Source organism: Homo sapiens, chromosome 10 (assembly GCF_000001405.40).
Source record: "Homo sapiens chromosome 10, GRCh38.p14 Primary Assembly".
In the NCBI taxonomy this organism is placed as follows: domain Eukaryota; kingdom Metazoa; phylum Chordata; class Mammalia; order Primates; family Hominidae; genus Homo; species Homo sapiens.
Genome location: NC_000010.11, coordinates 7,756,143 through 7,780,604, shown reverse-complemented (window position 1 = coordinate 7,780,604; position 24,462 = coordinate 7,756,143). Strand labels below are relative to the sequence as shown.

Below are 24,462 nucleotides of genomic sequence, written 5' to 3'. Positions count from 1 at the left end.
CAACATGGTGAAACCCCATCCCTACGAAAAATACGAAACAAAATTAGCCAGGCGTGGTGGTGGACCCCTGTAATCCTGGCTACTTGGGAGGCTGAGGCAAGAGAATCACTTGAACCTGGGAAGTGGAGGTTGCAATGAGCTGAGATCACACTATTGCACTCCAGCTTGGGTGACGAGAACGAGACTCTGTCTCAAAAAAAACAAAAACAAAAAACTGTACTACTGCTTAAATTTCAAAAAGATGATGCTATATGTTTGTAGAAATTACCTTAATGCTTTCCTTTCTTTCTTTATTAGGGAATTCCGAAATGACTTTCTAGAACTTCTCAGGAGACGCTTTGGTAAACATTTTAAATATTGTGCAAATAACAGCTTTATAAATGGCATAATCTTCTGATGATCATCAGTGTCATATTTTGTTCTCAGGCACTAAAAGGGTCCACAACAACATTGTCTACAACGAATACATCAGCCACCGAGAGCACATCCACATGAATGCCACTCAGTGGGAAACTCTGACTGATTTTACTAAGTGGCTGGGCAGAGAAGGTAAGAATGAGATTTTAAAGTTGCTTTTTCTTTCCCACTTCTAATCTTCATAGGATGAGATGTTTGGGATAAGAAAAGAGAAAAAAAATTGGGTCAGTGTTTTGCTTTTTCATCGTGTTAGTTGATTCCATTTTGGGAGCATAATTTCTGCCTTAAGTTAATAGAACATCATATAACTGTTGGACATTAAATACTTAGATAGAACTGAATAAATACTATGCAAGGTAATACAGTTGTCTCTCAGTATCCGTGGGGGATTGGGTCCAGGACCCCTTGCTGATAACCAAAATTCACAGATACTCAAGTCCCTTATATAAAATAAAATGATGTAGCACTTGCATGTAACCTATATACATCCTCCCACATACTTTAAATCATCTCGAGATTTCTTATAATATTTAATACAATGTAAATAGTTTTTATACTCTATTGTTAGGGAAAAATGGGAAGGAAAAAATGTCTGTGCATGTTCAGTACAGATGCAACCATCCGTTTTTCTTTTTTTGAATATTTCTCACCCACGGTTGGTTGAATTCACATACAGTATCTAAATTTCATTAAATATAAATATGGAAAATCCCATTTGCTGCATGAATTTGTGTATTTGAATGTGTTTTAGTGTATTTGGTGTTTTGTTTTGTTTTGTTTTTGAGACTGAGTCTCGCTCTGTTGCCAGGCTGAAGTGCAGTGGTAGGATCTTGGCTCACTGCAACCTCTGCCTCCTGGGTTCAAGTGATTCTCCTGCCTCAGCCTCCTGAGTAGCTGGGATTACAGGTGTGCACCACCACGCCCAGCTAATTTTTGTATTTTTAGTAGAGATGGGATTCACCATGTTGGCCAGGCTGGTCTTGAGCTCCTGACCTCAAGTGATCCACCTGTGTTGGCCTCCTAAAGTGCTGAGATTACAGGTGTAAGCCACTGCGCTCGGCCTGATTTGTGTGTGTTTGAATGAATAAATATGCAGAGGTGAAACACATTCATATTTATGTTTTGCTTTGATTGTATGCTAATTTATGGCAGTGGCTGTTTTTTTAAGGCTTGTGCAAAGTGGACGAGACACCAAAAGGCTGGTATATTCAGTACATAGACAGGGACCCAGAAACTATCCGCCGGCAACTGGAACTGGAGAAAAAGAAAAAGCAGGACCTTGATGATGAAGAAAAAACTGCCAAATTTATTGAAGAGCAAGTGAGAAGAGGCCTGGAAGGGAAGGAACAGGTGGGTAAGCAACATCATCCTGAGAAGCAACGTCCAGAGGTCTAAAGAAGCACAATGGCTTGGTTTTTCTTTTTTGTTTTTGTTGTTGTTGTTGTTTTGGAGATGGAGTCTTGCTCTGCCGCCCAGGCTGGAGTGCAGTAGCGCAATCTCAGCTCACTGCAACCTCTGCCACCCAGGTTCAAGCAGTTCTCCTGCCTCAGCCTCCTGAGTACCTGGAACTACAGGCGCCCGCCACCACGCCCAGATAATTTTTGTATTGTTAGTAGAGACAGGGTTTCACCATGTTGGTCAGGCCGGTCTCCAACTCCTGACCTCGTGATCCGGCCGCCTCGGCCTCCCAAAGTTACAGGATTACAGGCGTGAGCCACCGTGCCCAGCCAGCTTGTGTCTTTTCAGCGTTGAATCAAGTTCTGTGGGCACTGTTCCTGAACTAAGAGGAGAACCAGCCTGGTGTCAAAAGCACATTTTTGGCATTGACAAACCTTGGTTTGATTCCTGACATACTAACTTCATAATCTTGTATAATTGCATAATATTTCCAAACCTCAATTTCCTTATATCTAAATAGAGACGCTACCTAATGGGAAGACATATACACAGATAATTTCAACTGATTATAATTAATTCAGTACTGGAGGTAAATGCAGCATGTGGAAACATAGAGAAGCAATGTTTACTCTGGCCTGGGGAGGACAGAGTATTTGAGGGTGGATACAACCCCAGTGCCCAGGAGTCTTGAAGAATCAGTGGGTGCAAGCCAGATGAATGGGGAGGGAAGGAGCTGAGGTGTTAGAATAACTAGGTTGGGGCATTTATTTCAACATATATTTATAAGCGCCTCCGCTGTGCCAGGATTCTTGTAGGCACAGGGAATACTCAGTGAACAAAAGATACAGAAAACTGTCTCCTGTGGCTTACATTTTTTTTTTTTTTGGGGGGGGGACGGAGTCTCACTCTGTCGCCCAGGCTGGAGTGCAGTGGCGCGATTTCAGCTGACTGCAACCCCCGCCTCCTGGGTTCAAGCGATTCTCGTGTCTCAGCCTCCCAAGTAGCTGGGACTACAGGCACAAGCCACCATGCCCAGCTAATTTTTTGCATTTTTAGTAGAGACGGGGTTTCACCATGTTGGCCAGGTTGATCTCAAACTCCTGACCTCAGGTGATCCGCCCTTCTGGGCCTCCCAAAATGCTGAGATTACAGGCGTGAGCCACCACGCCCTGCCTCCTGTGGCTTACATTCTAACACTTGTGTGTGAGCAGGCAAATATAGCCTGGTGTGTATGTGAAACTGAGTGTTTTTTGAACTGGTTATTGAGCTTTAACATACATTGATTAAAGTGTATGAGGTGCATTAATCTTAGGTGTACAGTTCACTGAACTTTTACAAATATACGTGTGTAGAAAGAGTGACAGAAAACCTGTGGAACCACCACCCAGATAAAGATATAGAACTTTTCTAGTATCCCAGAGGGTTTCCTCATGCTCGTTGCCAATTAATACCCCATCTCCCAGACATAACCATTGTTCCAGTATACCACGATTGATTATTCATTAGTTTAGTCTGTTCTTGAACAGACTTAAAAAAAAAAAAAGCTTTTGCTTTTCCTAAAGTTTATTGCCTTATATTTTTGTTACTTCCTGTTTAAGTTGTAATAGAAATAAAAATATAGGTAAACTTCTGCAGTTTGGCATAGAAAAGCTGCTTTTTGGTATTTAGAATAATTCTCAATTGGATAATATTTGCAAAGCATGTAAGTTCTATTTTTTTTTTTTTTTTTTTTTTTTGAGAGACTGTCTCTCTCTGTCACCAGGCTAGAATGCAGTGGCATGATTACAGCTCACTGCACCCTTGACCTCTGGTGCTCAAGTGAACCTCTTGCCTCATATGAGTAGCTGGGACTATAGGTGTGCACCACAATGCCTGGCTAATTTTTTTTTTTTTTAATAGAGATGGGGGGCTCTTGCAATGTTGTCCAAGCTGGTCTCGAACTCCTGGCCTCAAGCATTCCTCCTGCCTGAGCTCGACCTCCCAAAGTGCTGGGATTATAGGCATGAGCCACCATGCCCAGCCAAAGCATGTAATTTCTTTTCTTTTTTTTTTTTTTTGAGACAGAGTCTTGCTCTGTCACCCAGGCTGGGGAGGGCAGTGGCATGATCTCGGCTCACTGCAACCTCCGCCTCCCAGGTTCAAGCAATTCTCCTGTCTCAGCCTCCCAAGTAGCTGGGATTACAGGCGCCCGCCACCATGCCGGGCTAATTTTTGTATTTTTAGTAGAGACGGGGTTTCACCAAGTTGGCCAGGCTCGTCTCGCTCTTTCACCCAGCCTGGAGTGAAGTGGCACGATCTCCGCTCACTGCAGCACTCACCCCCTGGATTCAGACGATTCTCCTGGCTCAGCCTCCTGAGTAGCTGGCATTACAGGCGCCCGCCATCACACCCGGCTAAATTTTTGTATTTTTAGTAGAGACAGGGTTTCACCACGTTGGCCAGGCTCATCTCGAATGCCTGACCTCAGGTGATCCACCTGCCTTGGCCTCGCAAAGTGCTAGGATTACAGGCATGAGCCACCATACTGGGCCAAAATATGTAATTTCTTTTTTTTTTTTTTGAGATGGAGTCTCGTTCTGTCACCCAGGCTGGAGTGCAGTGGCATGATCTTGGCTCACTGCAACCTCTGCCTCCCGGGTTCACGTGATTCTCCTGCCTCAGCCTCCTGAGTAGCTGGGATTACAGGTGCATACCACCATGCTCGGCTAATTTTTTGTGTATTTTTAGCAGAGACAGGGTTTCACTGTGTTGGCCAGACTGGTCTCGAACTACTGACCTCATGATCTGCCCGCCTCGGCCTCCCAAAGTGCTGGGATTACAGGTGTGAGCCACCGCGCCTGGCCGAAAGCATGTAATTTCTTAATTAGGATCTTAATCACTTGCGTATTAGAGCTGCCTGGGAACACAGGTAGCAAGTCATAATTTAGGCCTATTGAATGGTGATAGTAAGTGCAATGTACACCAAAACCTTAAAACTTTCTTTTTTTTAGGAGGTCCCTACTTTTACGGAATTAAGCAGAGAAAATGATGAAGAGAAAGGTAGTTTTATTTTTTATTTTTTCTTTTTTTAAACATAGATGCTTTTATATTGGCTTTGTTAAAAATGCAACTTGTCAACATATCTGAGAATAAGACATCGAATGTGTCTGAGTTACATTGTTCTTATTAATTTAATGAAAAGGTAATACTAATGAATTGATTGGATAGGATAGCTGAAGCCACAAGTAACAAAACTGACTACAATTAACTTAAACAATAAGGAAATATCTTGCCATAATAAGAATCCCAGAGGTAAGGTGGTTCTGCATGCCATCTAGACACAGGGTAGCTGCCAACACTCCAGCCGTCACATGCAGATTCTGCATTGTCGTGAGGATGGCAGAGAGCATCTCTGGATGCTCTTCTAGAATCTTGTTAAGAGCAAGGATACTTTTCCAAGAAGACACTCCTCCCTTCAATAGATTTCCTTTCAAATGTCATTGGCCAGAACTGTGTCACATGTCCACTCAAAAAGCAGTCACTGGGATTATGTTGATTGGATTAGACAATCAGAATTCACCCCAGAGATGAAAATGGTGTTATGTCCCCTGAGCCACAGGCAAGAGGCGTGGAGACCTAAACAGAATTGGAGTACTGTTCCCCAGGGGAAATGGGGATAGAGCAGGGAAGCGCCGGTGTGGTCTGCCACGGTGACACGGTGTGCAAGTTCCTCCTGTTCTATGGCTTTCAGTGTGGGACGTTTTACAGGAATGTGTGGTCTCCGTATAGGAACATTTTAGCTCTCGTTTATTGAAAATGTCCTGGAGTTCCTCTGTGAACACTTTGTAGTATCTTATCTGAGAAGTTTTATTATGATTTTCTTGAAATGTATGTATGGAATAACATTTTTTTCTTCTAGTCACGTTTAATTTGAGTAAAGGAGCATGTAGCTCATCCGGAGCAACATCTTCCAAGTCAAGGTGAGCTGCATCATTCACGGATATCTTAAAACATTAGGATTTTTGTGAAATATTGGTTACTGTATTTTAAAGTATTGTGAATCATTTTTTTCTAGTTGTAGTTTTCACCTGTTTTTGGTTTTTATTGGTTGCGTTGTTTTTTTAGCAATTGTTCTTTTTTTTTTTTTAAGAGATGGGGTCTTGCTATGTTGCCCAGGCTGGCCTCGAACTCCTGGGCTCAAGGTGATCTTCCTGCCTCAGCCTCCCAGGTATCAATAGCTGGGATTACAGGCACGCCCTACTGTGCCCAGCTAGCAACTGTTCTTTTCCTATTTGCCTGTTATGAGATGATTGTGTTTTTTGAGGAAAGCCTCATTTTGATTATATGTTTCACATCAATAAACTTTTGCTTCTCCATGAATCCTTCTCCATTTAACGGTTCCTTATTCGCTATATAAAACTGTTTCTTTTCCTGTCTTAGCCCACTTGTCACAGTTTAAATGTTAGCTGGATCTGCATTTTTCTTTTACTTGCTGCATTGTGAGTTTTCTGAGAATAGAGATTATCAACCTCTCTCCTTCGTCCCCAGTACAGTGTAAATACACCAGGAAACACTCAGTAGTCATTGCCCGCCCTTCTAGGTAGTCTAGCACAGGGCAGGGGTCAGCAAACTTTTTCTGTAAAGAGCCACATAGTAAATATTTTAGGCTTTTCGGCCAGATGTCTTTGTCACAATAACTGAACTCTGCTGTTGTAGTGAGAAGGCAGCCATGGACAGTGCAGGAAGGAACTGAGCATGGCTGGGTTCCAGTACATTTATTTACAAAAGCCGGTGGCAGCTGGCATTTGGCCCTTAGGCTGTCGTTTGCCAAAACCTGGCATAGCATGTGGTCAGGTAGTTCTACCTACTTTCTACATTATCTTCTCTTGCAATTTTTATGTATTCTTTCACCAAATCTTTATTCACTATTTCTGACATGCAGTACATTCAGTTTTGTTATGGAGGTTAAAAAAGATGAGTAAGACAAGAGAGTCAAGTACCAGTATCTACTGGAATTTGCTTTTAAGCCAGATGATATTTTCTATTTTACTTAGTACTTTACATGTTGTTTTTTTAAGATCTAAGTTTTTCGGGTTTGTTTGTAGGTCATTGTTTATTTACACTATTGAATAAGTGGCTAGGAGTATGGAAGGAGATAGGTAGGCTGAATCAGCAATATAGATCAACTTTAAAATGATTTGCCAGATGTCTTAACTTTGATCAAAATAATGTTTCAAAATTAACACCTACATTAGATATCATCAAGAAGTTGGTTATTTGGGTTCTACATCTGGGTACATTCCAGAAGAATTGTCTAACATTGGCATGATATGACCTGGAAGATCGGCTCAAATATAACACACATGCCTTATACTTTTAGAACTTTATGCATTTCTGTCTGTTCTTTTGAAGTATGTGTTATTCCTAGATGTAGATGGATGTTAAAATTGGTTCCAGTGTTCCCCAATTGACCTCCCTTGTATTAGTTTTCTATGGTCGCTGTAACAGATTACCACAAACTGGGTGGCTTAAAACAACAGAAATATGTTGAGGTCATATTCTAGAGGCCAGATTCTGAATCAGTATCACTGGCTTGAAATCAAGGAGCCTGCTGGCTGTGCTCTGGGGAAGAATCTGAGCTCCGGGGAAGAATCTGTCCCTTGCCTTTTCCAGCTCTGTTGGCCGCAGGCGTTACTTGGCTCATGGTTGCATCTCTCCAGTATTTAAGACGAGCATCTTCAAATGTCTCTTTGCCCCATCCTCACATCACCTTTTCCTCCAGGTGTCAAATCTCCCTCCACCTTGCTCTTACAAGAAAAGGGATGATTGTAGTTAGGGTCCACCTTGATAATCCAGGCCAAGCTCCTCATCTCAAGATCTTTAACTTACTCTCATTTGCAAAGACTCTTTTCTTAGATAATGTAACATTGATAGGTTTCAGGGATAAGGACCTGACATTTTTGGGGGTCTATACAGCCTGCTGTACCCCTATGCCAAACCTTGATATTAGCAAAAATATTAGTTTTATTTGACCAATTTTGATAATTTATTTGATAAGTTATCTATGTTAATATGTTGTGACCCGAGTCCATGAATAAGGAACAATATTTGTATAAGAATGTAGTGTCATGGGTAATACAATTGAAAGACATCTAAAATGTTTTTTCTCTGAAATTATGGTACATAATATAGTTTGGGATTCATTCTCCTGTGCATTTATATCTCTTATATATCTAAAACCTAGAAAAACTAAATGATGTGGATATCAAAGTGGACATTTTAGGCTATGTTGAGGCACAAAAATGAGCCCCCTTATTGCTTGAAACAGTTTACTTGATTTTCATCTCCATTTCTCCTTTGGGCTTCTTTATCTCCTTTGAGAAAGGCTAGAATTCACTCTAGTTACTGAAAGCAAAAATGAGGGCTGTTCAAGGAACCTTACTTTCCATTTTCATTCTGCTCATATTCATATCTTGCCTTGATTTTATTTTAACTCTGCCTTACCCCTGTCTCAGTCTCTCACCCTTCTAACAGAATCTTGATATTGCCAGCAAAAGGACCTTTCTAAACTTCAGCTCTTACCGTGTCACTCATTTATTAACATCTCTTGGTTTCAGCATCTCTAAGATGACCTCGAATTTTTTTACATACTATTAAGTGACTTTTGTGATCCTGTATGTCTCCTGCCGTTTGCTCTCAGCTGTGCTCATTGATTTGTGCTTTCCTAAATGAGCCTAGGGTCTCGCCCTTTCTTGCCTTTACATCTGCTGCTCCCCTTCCTGGAATGCCCTTTACATCACCCTGAGATCTTGCTGGGCTCTTCTGATCATCTTTTTCCCCATTATTGTCACATTCTAAGCATTTAATGATGCTGAGTAAATTTTCTTTTTCTTTCTTTCTTTTTTTTTTTTTTTTGAGACGGAATTTCGCTCTTGTTGCCCAGGCTGGAGCGCAGTGGCATGACCTCGGCTCACCACAACCTCTGCCTTCCAAGTTCAAGCGATTCTCCTGCCTCGGCCTCCCAAGTAGCTGGGAGTACAGGCATGCACCACCATGCTCGGCTAATTTTTTTGTATTTTTAGGAGAAACTGGATTTCACCATGTTGGTCAGGCTGGTCTCAAACTCCTGACCTCAAATGATCCACCTGTCTCAGCCTCCCAAAGTGCCGGGATTTCAGGCATGAGCCACCGCGCCCGGCCCAGTTGAGTTTTAAGAAGAGTAAATAATAGCCTTAAATAAACTCAAGTGTCTAAGCTGAGATTAATACCAAAATACTGAAATAATTTATAGATGTATTAATATTTGGGGACTCACTGTTGAGAACCTCTGAGGTATCATGGAGATTGGTAGAGGAGTCAGAAGGCAGAAAAATAAGCAAATATATTTTTTTAAGTGGAGAAAAGTCTTTAGAAAACAATAGATTAATAAGCATTTCCAACAGATTATGATAGGAAGTAGGTGGTTTGTGAACATGAGACGAGGAAGTGGTGATCCCTCAAGCCAAAAATAACTGCTTAATCCTAACTCCTCTTTTGCTAGGGTTATTAGTGCCTATTTTGTAGACATATTGTAGTTGATTATGATCTGAATTATCCCTGGATCCCTAGTTCAAAGTACACCTAAATCTAAAGAACATTTAAGTAGCAAGTTGAGGAGCTTATCTTACGTGGATTTGGCCTGTTCAAAACCCATGTCCATTATTTATAGCTGTCACACCCTGGGCAATGCATTCAGTAATAGAACCAGAGTTTAAATATATGTTCAGTGGGTTGAATTACAGGTCAAAACCCAGTGAGTAAAATTTTACAAAGGTAAATGGAAAGCCTGACAGTTAGGTAAAGAAAAACAACCCCCATAAAAACAGAGTGACAGAGTCCTTACCTACAATTCTCCATAGAGAAAAGAAGTAGGGGTTTTAGTTGACTTCAAGCTTAAAGTAACCCAGCAGTTCATCAATCTAAGGCTACCTTTAAATGCACTTTTTAAAGTCCAAATAAAGGAAAATAATAAATCTGTTGTATTCTCTACTAATCATATATTTTTTTCTTGGTTAGCTCCATGATAGCTTTGTGTAAATATTTATCCTTTGCTTCATCTTTTGTAAATATGACACATTAAATAATTAGATGGGTAAAAGTCATTTGATCAGCCAGTATTAATGGAGCATCTATTTAATGTGAGTTACAAGATAGTTACTGCTACTTTGCAGGAAAAAATAGATGCTTCCTCCCTACTACAAGAGAGGAGTCGTACATACAAATGATTATCATACAAGGTGCAGTGTGATGCATGCCACAAGGTACTGTGGCAGTTCAAAACACTGCAAGATCCAAGAACCCTCATGAATGGACCTTAAAGAATTTTAACAAATGGAGATAAAAGGAGAGATTATTTTAGGTATAAAACAAGGCATGTGCAAATTTTCAGAGGCTGAAAGCATAGGGCATGGCTCAGTCAATAGCAAATTGTTCTTAGTGACTGGTGTACATAGTAAGTCAGGGATGGTGACTAGGATGGTATTCTGGGGCCAATGGTGACAGTTGTATATTGGCAGTAAAGAATTTAGAATTTACACTGTCAGCCGGGCACGGTGGCTTACGCCTGTAATCCCAGCACTTTGGGAGGCCAAGGCAGGTGGATCACCTGAGGTCAAGAGTTCAAGACCAGCCTGGCCAACATTGCGAAACCCCATCTCTACTAAAAATACAAAAATTAGCCCAGCGTGGTGGTGGCTGCCTGTAATCCCAGCTACTTGGGAGGCTGAGGCACGAGAATCGCTTGAACCTGGGAGGCGGAGGTTGCAATGAGCCAAGATCGCGCCACTGCACTCCAGCCTGGGCGACAGAGTGAGACTCCATCTCAAAAAAAAGGATTTACACTGTTAACTCTGGGCAGTTGGGAGCAGTTAAAAACTTTTAAGTAACACGTTGAGAACTTTGCTTTACAAAACCAGAACTGAGAGTAACGTGCTAGACTTAAACCGGTCATTTGAAAACATGTCATTTAATTCTTGCATTTGGGTTAAGAGTTGGGTCATGTTATTATCTTCGTTTATAGATGAAGATTTGAGGCTTAGGAAAGTGAACTACTCCAAGTCCTAATAGAAGTAGCCTCAAACCCTGATCTGCTCAACACCAAAACCTAAGCTGCCTACCATCATTCTACTATACAAAGTATAGTAGCAGTGACCGAAGGAGTGAGGAGAAGGTACAGAGAGTTAAAGACAGCATGGGTTAAATGCTCACACAGTGCTGATAGGTACAGAGAGTTAAAGATAGCACGGGTTAAATGCTCACACAGTGCTGATGGTTCTGTAAGAGATGTGGACAGGGACTCCATGGTTTTCACTAATCTCCTGTAAATTACTATGTCACACATTTATTCTATATTGTGAATTTTGCACATCGTAAAGCATTCGTCTGTGTATGGTTCTTGGTAACAAGCATGGTTCTCCTGTTCATCAGTACTCTGGGACCGAGTGCACTGAAGACGATAGGAAGTTCAGCATCAGTGAAACGAAAAGAATCTTCCCAGAGCTCAACTCAGTCTAAAGAAAAGAAGAAAAAGAAATCTGCACTGGATGAAATCATGGAGGTACAGTTTATGGATTGCGTGTGGACACCTTAGAACCCAAGGAAAATTAAATCATTTCACCATTTATTAGATTAATAGAAAATTAGGAAAATTATCATGTACGGACTAGGGAATAGTGACCTAGCTACATACAGTTCCCCGAACTGGAGTTGGAGCCCCCCTAAATAGGTTTATTTATTTATTTGTTTTTTATTTTTTTGAGATGGAGTCTCACTCTGTTGCCCAGGCTGGAGTGCAGTGGCACAATCTCAGCTCACTGCAACCTCCGCTTCCCAGGTTCAAATGATTCTCCTGGCTCAGCCTCCCAAGTAGCTGGGATTGCAGGCGCTTGCCACCATACCTGGCTAATTTTTGTATTTTTAGTAGAGATGGGGTTTCACCATGTTTGCCAGGCTGATCTCAAACTCCTGACCTCAAGTCATCCACCCACCTTGGACTCCCAAATGCTGGGATTACAGGCATGAGCCACCATGCCCCACCTAAATAGGTTTCTTTTAATGCCTCAGGTGCTGTCTTTGAAACTCCCTGCGCTTGTTACGGTCAGTAGAATTCAGTTAGAAATTGGAGTCCTTCATGGTTGGCCTCCCTCCTTCAACTGCTACTCTCCTGTTGACTTTGACTTCCGCTTAGCACCTCCTAGCGAGCACGAGAAACCTGTGACATGTTTTTTTTTTGGTTGCTGTTTTTGTTGTTGAGACAGTCTCTCTCTGTTGCCCAGGCCAGACAGAGTGCAGTGGCACAATCTCGGCTCACTGCAGTCTCCGCTCCCCAGGTTCAAGAGATTCTCCTGCCTCAGCCTCCCCGAGTAGCTGGGATTGCAAATGTGTGCCACCATACCCAGCTAGTTTTTGTATTTTTAGTAGAGACAGGGTTTCACCATGTTGGCTAGGCTGGTCTCAAACTCCTGATCTCAAATGATCTGCCTACCTTGACCTCCCAAATTGCTGGAATTACAGGTGTGAGCCACTGCACCTGGCCTAGTGTGACATGGTTTTAATTTGATTTAGCCTGATGGCTAAGTCTATGTGAAAAATCATTGGAAGTACATGATTATCCATATTTAGGGCCATACTTGGGCTCTAAATCTACCCAAGACTCTAGAGTAATGCTGCAGGAGGTTCTTAATTTACTCCTAAATATCCCCTTCTCCATTCTAACACATAGCCTACCTTATCAATGAATTAAGAAAATAGGTGGGAGAGAAGAGGCAGGATAGAGGAGAAAGAGTAAATGAATACAAGAAGCTAACTTTTTTTTCTTTAATATTATTTCCTCTGTCTCCTCATTTATTTTCGTCTTCATTGTGAAGGGATAGAAAATGCCGTCCAGTCTTTTTTTTTTTTTTTTTTTGAGACGGAGTCCTGCTCTGTGTTCTGTCACTCAGGCTGGAGTGCAGTGGTGCAATCCCAGCTCCCTGCACCATCTACCTCCCAGGTTCAAGTGATTCTCCTGCCTCAGCCTCCTGAGTAGCTGGGATTACAGGCACCCGCCACCATGCCTGGCTAATTTTTTATATTTTTAGTAGAGGCGGGATTTCACTATGCTGGCCAGGCTGATCTTGAACTCCTGGCCTCAGGTGATCCACCCGCTTCGGCCTCCCAAAGTCCTGGGATTACAAGGTGTGAGCCACCGCACCCGGCTGGCTGTTAGTCTTCTCTGTTCCTAGTCCTCACACCATGCAGGATGATCTAAAAAGCTTCAAGTATAATGTTTAGATGAAACTTACTATGAAACTGAGTCACTGTTACATGCTGCACATTGTGCAAGCCCCCGGGTCTGTATAGTAGAAAGAAAAACAGTCCTTGTTAGTCACGGAGCTTTCATTCTAACGTCAGAGCTGTTCAGCAGTGAATCAGTGAATGATCACAAAATGCTGAGTGCCAAGGAGGTATGAGGGTAGCGCCTGGGGAGAGATCCTGTGAACGGTACCTAGACAGGAACGATCAAGCATCTGAAGGAAAGGCCCACGGGACTGGAGTGCAGCAAGCACCTGGTGGCGTATGAGGTCAGAGAGCCAGGAGGGCCAACACCATAGAGGTCTTACATGCTGTGACAGGGATTTTTAAAATTTAATTTTATTCAAAGAAAAATGGAAAGCCAAATCGACCTTTTTTGAATATAATGCATACTAATTTTAGAACACTGTTTGTTGAAAAGGTGAAGGATTTAAAATGAGGTTTTTTTTTTTTTTTTGAGATGGAGTGTCACTCTGTGGCCCAGGCTGGAGTGCAGCAATGTGACCTCGGCTCACTGCAACCTCCGCCTCACAGGGTTCAAGCAATTCTCACGTCTCAGCCTCCCAAGTAGCTGGGACTACAGGCATGCACCACCACGCCTGGCTAATTTTTGTACTTTTAGTAGAGACACGGTTTCACTGTGTTCGCCAGGCTAGTCTCAAACTCCTGACCTCGTGATCCGCCCACCTCAGCCTCCCAAAGTGCTGGGATTACAGGCATAAGCCACCGCGCCCAGCCTAAAATTAGGTTTCGAATCAACCAAGGGATTATTACATTGTTTGATCCCATTGAAAATTGGTACTTAGGGTTAACTGTAAGCAGTTGAGAAAGAAAAAGATTCGATATTTTCGCCATACAGCCCCACAGCTCTCTTTTCTTTGGTCACTCTCATTTATCTCTTGGTGGTATTTTTCTTCCCTTTCATTCATGAGCTTTACTGTCATTTTCAAACAGGGAGCCCCCTGTTTGCTACCAGGCTGTATACTTAACCACACTGTGCTACATTGATCCATGTGTTATGATTTTACTGCATGAAAACGTGGCCTCTTTTCCAGCTCCTGACAGTCACATGGGAGAAAGTGGGTGAGGGCAGGTACTGGCTGGTCTTTCAGCTGAATAGGAGTTGTGTCTGTTTGCTTCCTAGGTCAGTTGACTTGCTTTATTATATACTTTTAAAAACTGAAGTTTTTTTTAAATCAAAAACTAATGACAAGTAATGTTTATTTGTATTTATCAGAGCTCGCAAATTATGTCATTGGTCTTCTGTGAAGTAGAGGACTTCACAGTTTTATGGTGTTATTTTGCTAAATAGAATGGTATTTTGAAATCCAATGAGGATTTTAGGGAGATAATTTAAGACATTATGTGTTCTACAGATTGAAGAGGAAAAGAAAAGAACTGCCCGAACAGACTACTGGCTACAGCCTGTAAGTATTCAGTTGGAGTTTCTTAAGTTCTAAATGTATGTTTAAGTGAATGATTTAACTAGCATTTGGTATAAGTAACTAAACTTTTCAAACACGTATAATCTATATAGATAGAGTTAGTTATAACTTATAATGACTTTTCTTCCTATTAGATCATTAATTATTGGTTGCACCTCTATTGGAGAGTTACTTCATGCTTATAGACTAATAATGTTCTTTAAGTTTAGTGCTAAACTTGTTTATGGGCATCTTAAATTTGAGCCAGGAATTTTCAATTTTTGCTATAAGACAAGAGGTTATGTTTTCAGAAATGAGTTCAAAAAGTAGAACTGTAAATGCCCAAGTGTTGGTTTTCAGTTTACAACTTATTGGAACTAGAATGTCCATTTATTAATAGGTACATTGTGGAGAAAAGCAGGCTTTAATTTCACAAACTCAAGGGAGTTTTATATTTTATTGCTTATTTATTATTGCTTATTGTTTTAAAATAATTTAAAAATAGTTTTTAAACATTTAACAATATTTTAAAATGATTATTTATTGATGCTCTATTTTAGACTTACTGAGACATGACATTTTCATAAAACTTTCAGAGTGTCTTATTCTTTTTTTTATTTTTAAATAGAGACAGGGTCTTGCTCTATTGACCAGGCTGGTCTGAAACTCCTGGCCTCAAGCGATCCTCCCACCTCAGCTTCCAGAGTAGCTAGGACTACAAGCATGCACCACTAATGCCCTGCCAATTTTTGTATTTTTTGTAGAGACAAGGTTTTACTCTTTTGCCCAGGCTGGTCAACATAGTAGCCTCAAGTGATCCTCCTGCCTCGACTTCCCAGGGTGTTAGGATTACTGGCCCGAGCCACTGTGCCGAATTTTTTTTTTTTTTTTTTTTTGAGATGGAGTTTTGCTCTCATTGCCCAGGCTGGAGTGCAATGGCACGATCTCAGCTCACCGTAATCTCTGCCTCCTGAGTTCAAGCGATTTTCCTGCCTCAGCCTCCCTAGTAGCTGAGATTACAGGCATGGGCCACCACATCCGGTTAATTTTGTATTTTTAGTAGAGACGGGGTTTCTCCATGTTGGTCAGGCTGGTCTCGAACTCCAGACCTCAGGTGATCCACCTGCCTCAGCCTCCCAAAGTGCTGGGATTACAGGCGTGAGCCACCGCGCCCGGCCCACTGTGCCTAGTTTTTAAACTCAGAAAGGAAATATTTTTAACAGATCTACTGTGGATAAGGGCCAATAAGTACAGTGATGTAATGAATTATCTTCCAATTACTAGAGTGTGAACCCATGAGAGCGTTTGAGAAATTAGCCCAGAAAATAGTATGACTAAATTGGAGAAGTTGTTTTGGCATTAATTGGCTTCATTTAGAAAGTCTTAAAAGAGAGACTTCAGAATAAGACCGTTCACATTTTTCCGTAAACCTATCTTTCTACTATTAAATACCCTCTCCCCAAAGTCCTTCCTAAAGTTTTGTTAGTACGATTTTAAGCATGGCTTTATGAAATACTTGACCATCTCTTTGATATATTCACTTGAAGTAGCAAATATAGAATCACTGCAGTAATATTGCATTGTTAGGCAATTTAATTTTCATTATTAGCTTTTAGACAACTAATCCAAATCAGGAAAAAATGGTAAAGAAGCAAACTCTGAATTCATTCATAAGAAGTAAGCCCAGATTTCCCTCCCATTTGAGAATTAGATGGTCAGAAGAACAATACCTTTAGCTATATCTAATCTGGAGGAATCCCAACTGTATGAAAATTCAAAGCAACTTAATGAGAAAGGGGCATAGTGAGAACTGTCCTGCATAAGCTTGCAGGCTCAGTGCCTTGCAATTTCCAGTGAGTCTCTTGCAATCTGAGTTTTTATCAGCAGTGAACAACTCAGCGCTTTTCACTTCCTGCAATGGAAAGAAACCATCTACGAAAGACGTGAAGTACTAGAGTTGAATTTTACCGATAACAGTCCTAGATTTCCAGAAATCTGCAATGTAGAAATCAGACATTTTTTATATATATGTATATATTTTTTTCCTCTTGCTAACCACGTTGAACAGAAAGGGGAAGAAGGAATAAAAGATTGCTAAGGAAATGTTTGTCATTGTTGGGAAGGCAGAGAACTCCAGCATTTCTTATTTGGCAGGGCAGTTACATTTTCCTGTGGTTTTGGGTGAACATAGTTTAAAAGGAAGAAGTAAATGACAAACGATAACTTCTGTCTTTCCTTTCATTTTTTTTGTTATTATTTTCTAGGAAATTATTGTGAAAATTATAACCAAGAAACTGGGAGAGAAATATCATAAGAAAAAGGCTATTGTTAAGGTAAGGACGTGCAATTATGAATGGAATTTGTGAAAAAAGCTTGGGTCACTGAGTGAAGCTATTTTGGTATTTCTTGAAAATCAAGTCCTAGTAGCAGAAGTACTATGTTTAAAATTCTTGATTATTCCATGAAATGGAAGCTGAATTCATGATTGTTGGAGAAATATTTCTTTTTCATCCATAGTTTCTACTCAGCGTTGATCTGTTTTCTTACTAGGACAGATAGTATGTATGAAGGCCCATCAGCACCTCTTCAAAACCTCAGCATGCATGCCTTGCTTGTCAGTAAAATGTACTTTATTTTTTAATGATAGGCCATATATTAAAAGTAGTGGCAAAAACTGCAATTACTTTTATGCCAGCCTAACAATTATACTGTCAGAGGTCTCATGAGGACTTCTTGTGTTTTGCTTGAGAAACTGTCTTTTGGCTACTCTGGGATTTTATTTATTTTTATTTTTATTTCTGAGACAGAGTCTGGCTCTGTTGCCCAGGCTGGAGTGCAGTGGTGCGATCTCAGCTCATTGCAACCATCGCCTCCCAGGTTCAAGTGATTGTCCTGCCTCAGCCTCCCGAGTAGCTGGGATTACAGGTGGCCACCACCGCACCTGGCTAACTTTTATATTTTTAGTAGAAACGGGGTTTCACCAAGTTGGCTGGGCTGGTCTCAAACTCCTGACCTCAGGTGATCTACCTGCCTCAGCCTCCCAAAGTACTGGGATTACAGATGTGAGCCACTGCACCCGGCCTACTCTGAGATTTTAAAGTTTGTATCAATATTCTAGGCCTTTTCTCCCTTTTTGCCTTTCCTAAATTTAGTTTTATTCTAGCACCCAGCCTTGTGCATGCCTATTGCCCTTCTTCCACTGTACATTAAGCTAGGCAAAACTACCCCTCTTGTTAGATTTCTTAAAGTCTTATTCCAGGACCACCAATCTGTTATTGTTTCCAGATGAAAACCTTTACTAAGCTTTGAATTGAGTTCTTTATTGAGAACCATAGACTGGGAAATCATGTATGGAATCTAGAAAATAGTGTCATTTATAGAAGGAGTTACTCTTTCTTTTGATTGATATTTTATTTGTCTTCATTTCATTTGCTTTTGACCTTTTAAATGAGTGTGCACATATTTCTTCTATTATAAAAGTGTTCATTTTACATGACAGGAAGTAATTGACAAATATACAGCTGTTGTGAAGATGATTGATTCTGGAGACAAGCTGAAACTTGACCAGACTCATTTAGAGACAGTAATTCCAGCACCAGGTAAATCTGTTTGCAGACCATTTAATACATATGCCATCAAAATGAGCGGTTCCATTTTCAAACCACTGTATTTTGACAGTACTTGTTGGTTGTTATTTTTCTGTCTTGGCGGCATTAACTGCCAGCGTAACTCATCTCTGTTTGGATTCAAGGGCATCGTAGTTTACTGGCTCTCTGATGAAGCTGTTTTGTGGCATCAATGGATTTTCCTTTCCTGGAATACTTTTTTTTTTTTTTCCTGAAGCAAAACGTAGACATATATGGATAGCATTTGTTATATTAGGCTTATGGTTATAGGTTGAGAATCTCTCATCTGAAATGCCTGGACCAGAAGAGTTTCCAATTTTGGATTTTGGAATTTGCATATACATAATTGGATATCTTAGGGTTGGAACCCATGTCTTAACACAAAATTGATTTATGTTTTATTTTATTTTTATTTATTTATTTATTTTTGAGACACAGTTTCACTCTGTCACCCAGGCTGGAGTGTGGCGGCACGATCTTGACTTACTGCAACCTCCATCTCCCAGGTCAAGCAATTCTCCTGCCTTAGCCTCCCAAGTAGCTGGGATTACAGGCATGCATCACCACATCTGGCTAATTTTTGTATTTTTAGTAAAGACGGGGCTTCACTGTGTTGGCCAGGCTGGTCTCAGACTCTTGACCTCAAGTGATCCACCCACTTCAGCCTCCCAAAGGGCTGGAATTACAGGCCTGAGCCACCATACTCATCCTCATTTATGTTTTATATACACCTTACACACATAGCCTGAAGGTAATTTTATACAATATTTTAAATAATTTTGATTGCATCTTGACAGTGGCCTGTCACAGGAGGTCAGGTGTGGAATTTCCCACTTGTGGCATGATGTCAGCACTCAAAAGATTTTACATTTTGGAGCTTTTCAAATTTTCAGATTAGGAATGTTCAATCTGTGATGTATTTGTTTAGCTCTCTGCGATAGTCAAGTGAAAGTCTGTGTTATTTTGCTTTTTTTCCCCTTAGGTGTCTTTGCCTTTTGGAAACTTATCCGTATCTGAGTACAAACACTACTTTGACCAGGTTGTTTACCTCTGACTCAAAATCTTCCTGGGGGTGTCATTGCCAATGTAGTGATAACATCAGTCTCTGGAACTTCTTATTATCATATTCTTTATTCTTTTTCCCCCTAAAGTAAAAATTCTTTTTACAGATTAGAAAAATTTATGTTAGCTTTATTGTGGTAAAATTGATGTACAATAAATCACACATATGTAAAGTATACAATTTGGTAAGTTTCAACATGTGCCTACTTCCATAAAACCATCACTACAATCTAGCTGATGAATAGATCCTCTCATTTCCCTCTCTAATCCCTCCCTCCTACCTTCTGCTCCTGCATCCTCTGTCTTCCTCGACATCTGCTGACATGCTTTCTGTCATAGTTCAGTTCATATTTTTCTAGAATTTTATATAAATTAAGTTTCTATAAATATAAATGTGTCCTGTTTTCTGGTCTGGCTACTTTCACTCAGTGTAATTATTTTGGATTCACCTATGTGGTGGAACGTATCTGTAGTTCATTCTTTTTTCTTGCTGTATGTCATTGTATGGATATGCAGTATTCCCCCTTAACCTATACCTTCCAAGACCACCAGTGAATGCCTGAAACCATGGATAGTACCAAACACTATATATACTATGTTTTTTCCTACATACATATCTATAATAAAGTTTAACTTATGAATTAGGCACAGTAAAAGATTGAGAATAATAACTAATAATAAAATAGAGCAATTATAATAATATAGTATGATAAAAGTTATGTGAATGTGGTCTCTTTCTCTCAAAATATTTTATTGTACTTTACACACCTATTTTTGGACCACGCTGACTGAGAGTAACCAAAACCTGGGATAAGGGGGGACTACTGTACCAGTTTGTTTATCCAGTTATCTGTTGATAGACATTTGGCTTATTTACAGCTTTTGGCTGTTAAAAATAAAACTGCTGTGAACATATACGTACAAAGCTTTGTGTGGATATCTGGTTTCTTTTTTCTTGGGTAAATACATAGAATGGCTCAGTCACATGTTAGGTATAAGTTTAAATTTTTGTAAAACTGCCAAACCATCTTATGAATTTTGCAAAGAGACAAAGTAAGCTAAATTGTCTCTGATTACTTCTGGACTCTGAACATTTTCTCCAAGTACCTTATATTCTTTGCAGTCTAAAAGTAAAACATACATATTCCTTTAACAAATAATTGGGGGAAAAATGAGAAGTCTTATAATGTTCGAGTAGTGAAAGTATCCATACACCGCACTAAAATACTACACACTTCTTAAATGATTGAGAACTTCTAAGAAAAAGGGTTTTGTTTTTTATTATGTTTATTCAGTGTAGTACATTTTGCTGTAACAAGTTAGAAGAAAAGTGGAGATATTTCTTCACATTAATTTTTATATTCTTTTCCATCATAGGAAAAAGAATTCTAGTTTTAAATGGAGGCTACAGAGGAAATGAAGGTACCCTAGAATCCATCAATGAGAAGACTTTTTCAGCTACTATCGTCATTGAAACTGTAAGTTTGTTTACACAAAGACAGAAATTTCAAAATGCTTTAAAAATGTGCCATAGTTTTTTTTAATTGGATTGTTCTTTATTTTAGAATTTGAGTTTTTTGTTAGCCTTCTATCCTATTTGGAAATCTGTAAGCTTATTTTCTCCAGTGACTCTGCCATTGCTAAAGTATTTTATTTTCTGATTATAAAAGAAATGTGTACTCATGCATAAAACCCCAAAAAACATAATTTAATATAAATAATTATAAAAATTAATCATAGTCCCCCAGCCCAACAATAAACCCCATTAATATTTTGGTCTGTTCCTTTCCAATCTTGGTGTTTTATGAAAGTGTGTGTAATAGGTACAGTTTTATATCCTTTTTTCCCCTCATATCGAATATAAAACTCAATTTGGCATAGTAAAGTTAGTGGGGGAAGTAAAGTCATTGTCAAGAGGGAGGGAACCACAGAGGTCAACCACTTTTTAAAATGTCTCCCCTTTTTTCATAAAGGATTTAAGGTAGCAGAGATCAATACAGTAATTTAAAGAACTCTGACTTATAAATAAAGTTGGTTATTGACTTAGAACTGATATTTCACTCACAGGTCTGTGAGTGAGGTCTGAGATATCTTCAGAAAGAAAGTTTCCTTTTAGAACTCTGAACTACTGCACTGCATATCTTTGATGCTAAACAAAAGAATTTTTTATCTCCAGTACAGTCAGTTTTAGTATTTCTGGGGGAGCTTGGGAGTAATAGCTCACTTAGAGAGTTTAATGAAAGTTTAGACTCTTCAAAACATTGCACATAATTGCCAAATTTTATTTGTTCTCTTGGGGAGTTTATAGGCCCCCTAAGCCCATGGACCTGTTAGAGAATATGTGTCTAGGAAGGTTTTCTGGAAAAACCATTTAGGTCCTTATTTGAGAGAATTCTCATTTCAGTAAATCAAGCTTTTCTCCTTTTTTTTTTTCTTTCTGATCCTGACAATGCTAACCTAGAAGCTGTTACTTGCTAACTGTTACTAACGTAAACTAAGGGGAAGAAAGGGAAAAAGGACTCCTACTTGGCATTGAGGAACATGTCAGTCTGACTAAATTAGCAGATTGAGTTTTAACAAAAAACTCTATAAGATTTTCTCTGACTCTATCAGCATAAGGCAGTAGAAAATCCAGTATTTCCTTGACAACTTGCTTATCCTTCCCTTATTAATTTCTTTTTTTTTTTTTTTTGCATGGACCATGCATGAAACTTACCTTATTAATTTCATAGTGCTATCAAATGCAGATCCTGTTTCATGTTTTCATCTCAGGGAAACACAAAACAACTGATTACTGTTGAGGCTGTGTTGAGTTCCATCTCGATACCTTTGGTTCGCAGGTTGTGTCCATTCATCAAAAACTAATTTCTCACCTTCTGCACTGTAGACCCAGTTTCATCTTCTGTACTGAGGTAGAACTTAGCAGCAAATCCACATGAAAAGCCTTTCTGTTTGATTGCAAAGCAACATGTACTTCTTTTAGAAGAGGGAATCTACCAGCTTGGCATGGTGGCTCATGCCTGTAATTCCAGCACTTTGGGAGGCTGAGGCGGACGAATCACCTGAGGTCAGGAGTTCGAGACCAGCCCGGCCAACATGGAGAAACCCCATCTCCACTAAAAATACAAAAATTAGCTGGGCGCGGTGGCAAATGCCTGAAGTCCCAGCTCGGGAGACTGAGGCAGGAGAATCGCTTGAACCTGGGAGGCAGAGATTGCAGTGAGCCAAGATTGCGCCACTTACTCCGGCCTGGGTGACAGCGAGACTCCGTCTCAAAAAAAAAAAAAAAGGGAATCTGTCTCCTAATTTTTTTTTCTTCCTTTCTTCAGCCTGTCCTCATTAAAAAAAAAAAAAAAATCTCTGTATATGCTTGTGTCATCACTTGAGCTTTGCAAGTGGTTATTTTTATCATTTCTGGCACCTTAAGTTTTCATGTCGTTGATAATATTTGAAATTTATACATATATCAAGCAGATTTTTAACATCCAATAAATTGTTCCTAAATAGCTTCAGCTTTTTAGCTATTTGCCCTATAAGCCCAAATGTCTGGCTCCCTTCTTATTCTCCAGATTTATGGTACTTATCAGAAAAATGTAATTGACCATAGACCATTAAACATGATAATGAAAAATCTAACCTAGGTTATACTTTATCTGGGAACTTAATTCCTTTAAATATGATAATTATTTGTTGTGAAGGGAAGCAGTAAAAAAATGTTAAAATCTCAGTTCTAGGGTTAGAGTCATCATCATTGTCATCATCATTATTGTCATCATCATCATGTTATATTTTGCAAGGGAGAGGATTAACTGTCAAATTTAATTTTAATTTTATTTAATTTAATTTTATTTTATTTTATTATTTATTTTCAAGACAGAGTCTCACTCTGTCGCCCAGGCTGGAGTGCAATGGCGCGATCTCAGCTCACTGCAACCTCTGCCTCCGGGTTCAAGAAATTCTTCTGCTCCAGCCTCCCAAGTAGCTGGGATTACAGGTGTGTGCCACCATGCCCAGCTAATTTTTATATTTTTAGTAGAGATAGGGTTTCACTATGTTGGTCAGGCTGGTCTCAAACTCCTGACCTCAGGTGATCCACCTGCCTCGGCCTCCCAAAGTGCTGGGATTACAGATGTGAGCACTGCGCCCGACCCAACTCTCAAATTTTAAACAAAAGATTAAATAATAATTAGAGTTGAAAATTATTGAGCTCTCACTCATATTAAGTTCCAGGTCTAGTCACTTTATATGAAATAACTCATTTATATTTCCCAACAACCCAATCATACAGACATTACCATTATTTCCACTGGGAGATAATAAGGCACAGAGAGGAAACTGAAGGACAGAGAGGTTAAATCAATTGTTGAAAGTGAGATTTGAACTTGGGGAGTGTAGGTTCACAGCCCATATTCTTAGCCTCTGTGTTCCCAGGTTATATCCGCTTTTGTGATAGAAAATATCTTTCATTAATTAAGTTTTCCTCTTTCCCTTTTTGTTCGATATGAAAGAAGAAAATAAAGTTAAAGTTGGACTCTTTTTATAATCTGGACCAGTGTAACTATCACAGCCAACCTAGACAAACATGTTTGAGTATCGTAATGCTTACAAAATGATATTTCCTATAAAAAAAAGAAAACCCCAAATGGACAATGGCACAAACATGGTAGAAGTTAACGTTTCACTCTAAAAACCCCAAATGGGTATTTTTGATCAGGGAACTCTTTCTAAGTGGCGATTTGTGAACCCAGGGTCCTTCCAGCTAGTGCCTCTACTGCCCTCAAGTGGCATCTCCAGTTGCCATGTCTGTGTGCACTGGGCAGGCAAAAGGAGCTTGGCAGATTGTGTGTCAGTTATAGCACGTCTGGACCGTCACTTCTGTTTGCTTTCATGGGCTGGAGCTCCATGCATGGCCACAGCTAACCACAAGGGAGCCAGGAAACTGGCTATTTATCCAGGAAGCAGAGGAGATACTGAACAGCTTGCAGGTCTCTGCCACAATGTCTATTGATAACGTATGTCAGATGTCACAGAAGAAAATATGGTAGTTCTTAATGAGAATGCCATAGATTATTCTTAAAATTCATAGATGTATACAAATGTTAACAATCTTAATGGTATTTTAGGGATGCGGAAAAGGCAAATTTGTATCCATAAGTATGGTGTCATTTTTTTGTCTTTTAGGAATATGTGTTTTTAACCTTATTTTAAATTATTTTAATTTGTAG

The 24,462-nt window shown here is 39.8% G+C and overlaps 1 protein-coding gene across 5 annotated transcripts in view, besides 1 other annotated feature; it reads left to right on the top strand.

Annotated features, from left to right (window-relative positions):
* The window catches only part of KIN (Kin17 DNA and RNA binding protein), a 37,032-nt gene that overhangs the window by 7,389 nt on the left and 5,181 nt on the right, over positions 1-24,462 (top strand). For 3 of the 5 annotated variants that reach the window (NR_045609.2, XR_930485.3, NM_012311.4), the window contains exons 3-12: positions 298-341; positions 427-549; positions 1,586-1,767; positions 4,806-4,854; positions 5,714-5,774; positions 11,260-11,389; positions 14,502-14,552; positions 16,814-16,882; positions 18,049-18,148; positions 20,615-20,715. Coding sequence is in view for 3 of the 5 variants with exons in the window: in NM_012311.4 (NP_036443.1) it covers positions 298-341; positions 427-549; positions 1,586-1,767; positions 4,806-4,854; positions 5,714-5,774; positions 11,260-11,389; positions 14,502-14,552; positions 16,814-16,882; positions 18,049-18,148; positions 20,615-20,715 (910 nt within the window). In the remaining 2 variants the exon portion in view is untranslated. Of the gene's footprint in view, positions 1-297; positions 342-426; positions 550-1,585; positions 1,768-4,805; positions 4,855-5,713; positions 5,775-11,259; positions 11,390-14,501; positions 14,553-16,813; positions 16,883-18,048; positions 18,149-20,614; positions 24,457-24,462 lie in introns of those variants that run through there. The other 2 variants (XM_006717435.5, XM_006717434.5) reach the window with 1 other exon arrangement.
* Positions 13,285-13,486: a silencer, noted in NCBI's record as "fragment chr10:7809082-7809283 (GRCh37/hg19 assembly coordinates)". NCBI's record gives its function as "represses an EF-1alpha promoter that drives an FKBP-Casp9 reporter gene in an ReSE screen in K562 erythroleukemia cells {active_cell/tissue: K562}" and the evidence as "EXISTENCE:reporter gene assay evidence [ECO:0000049][PMID:32094911]".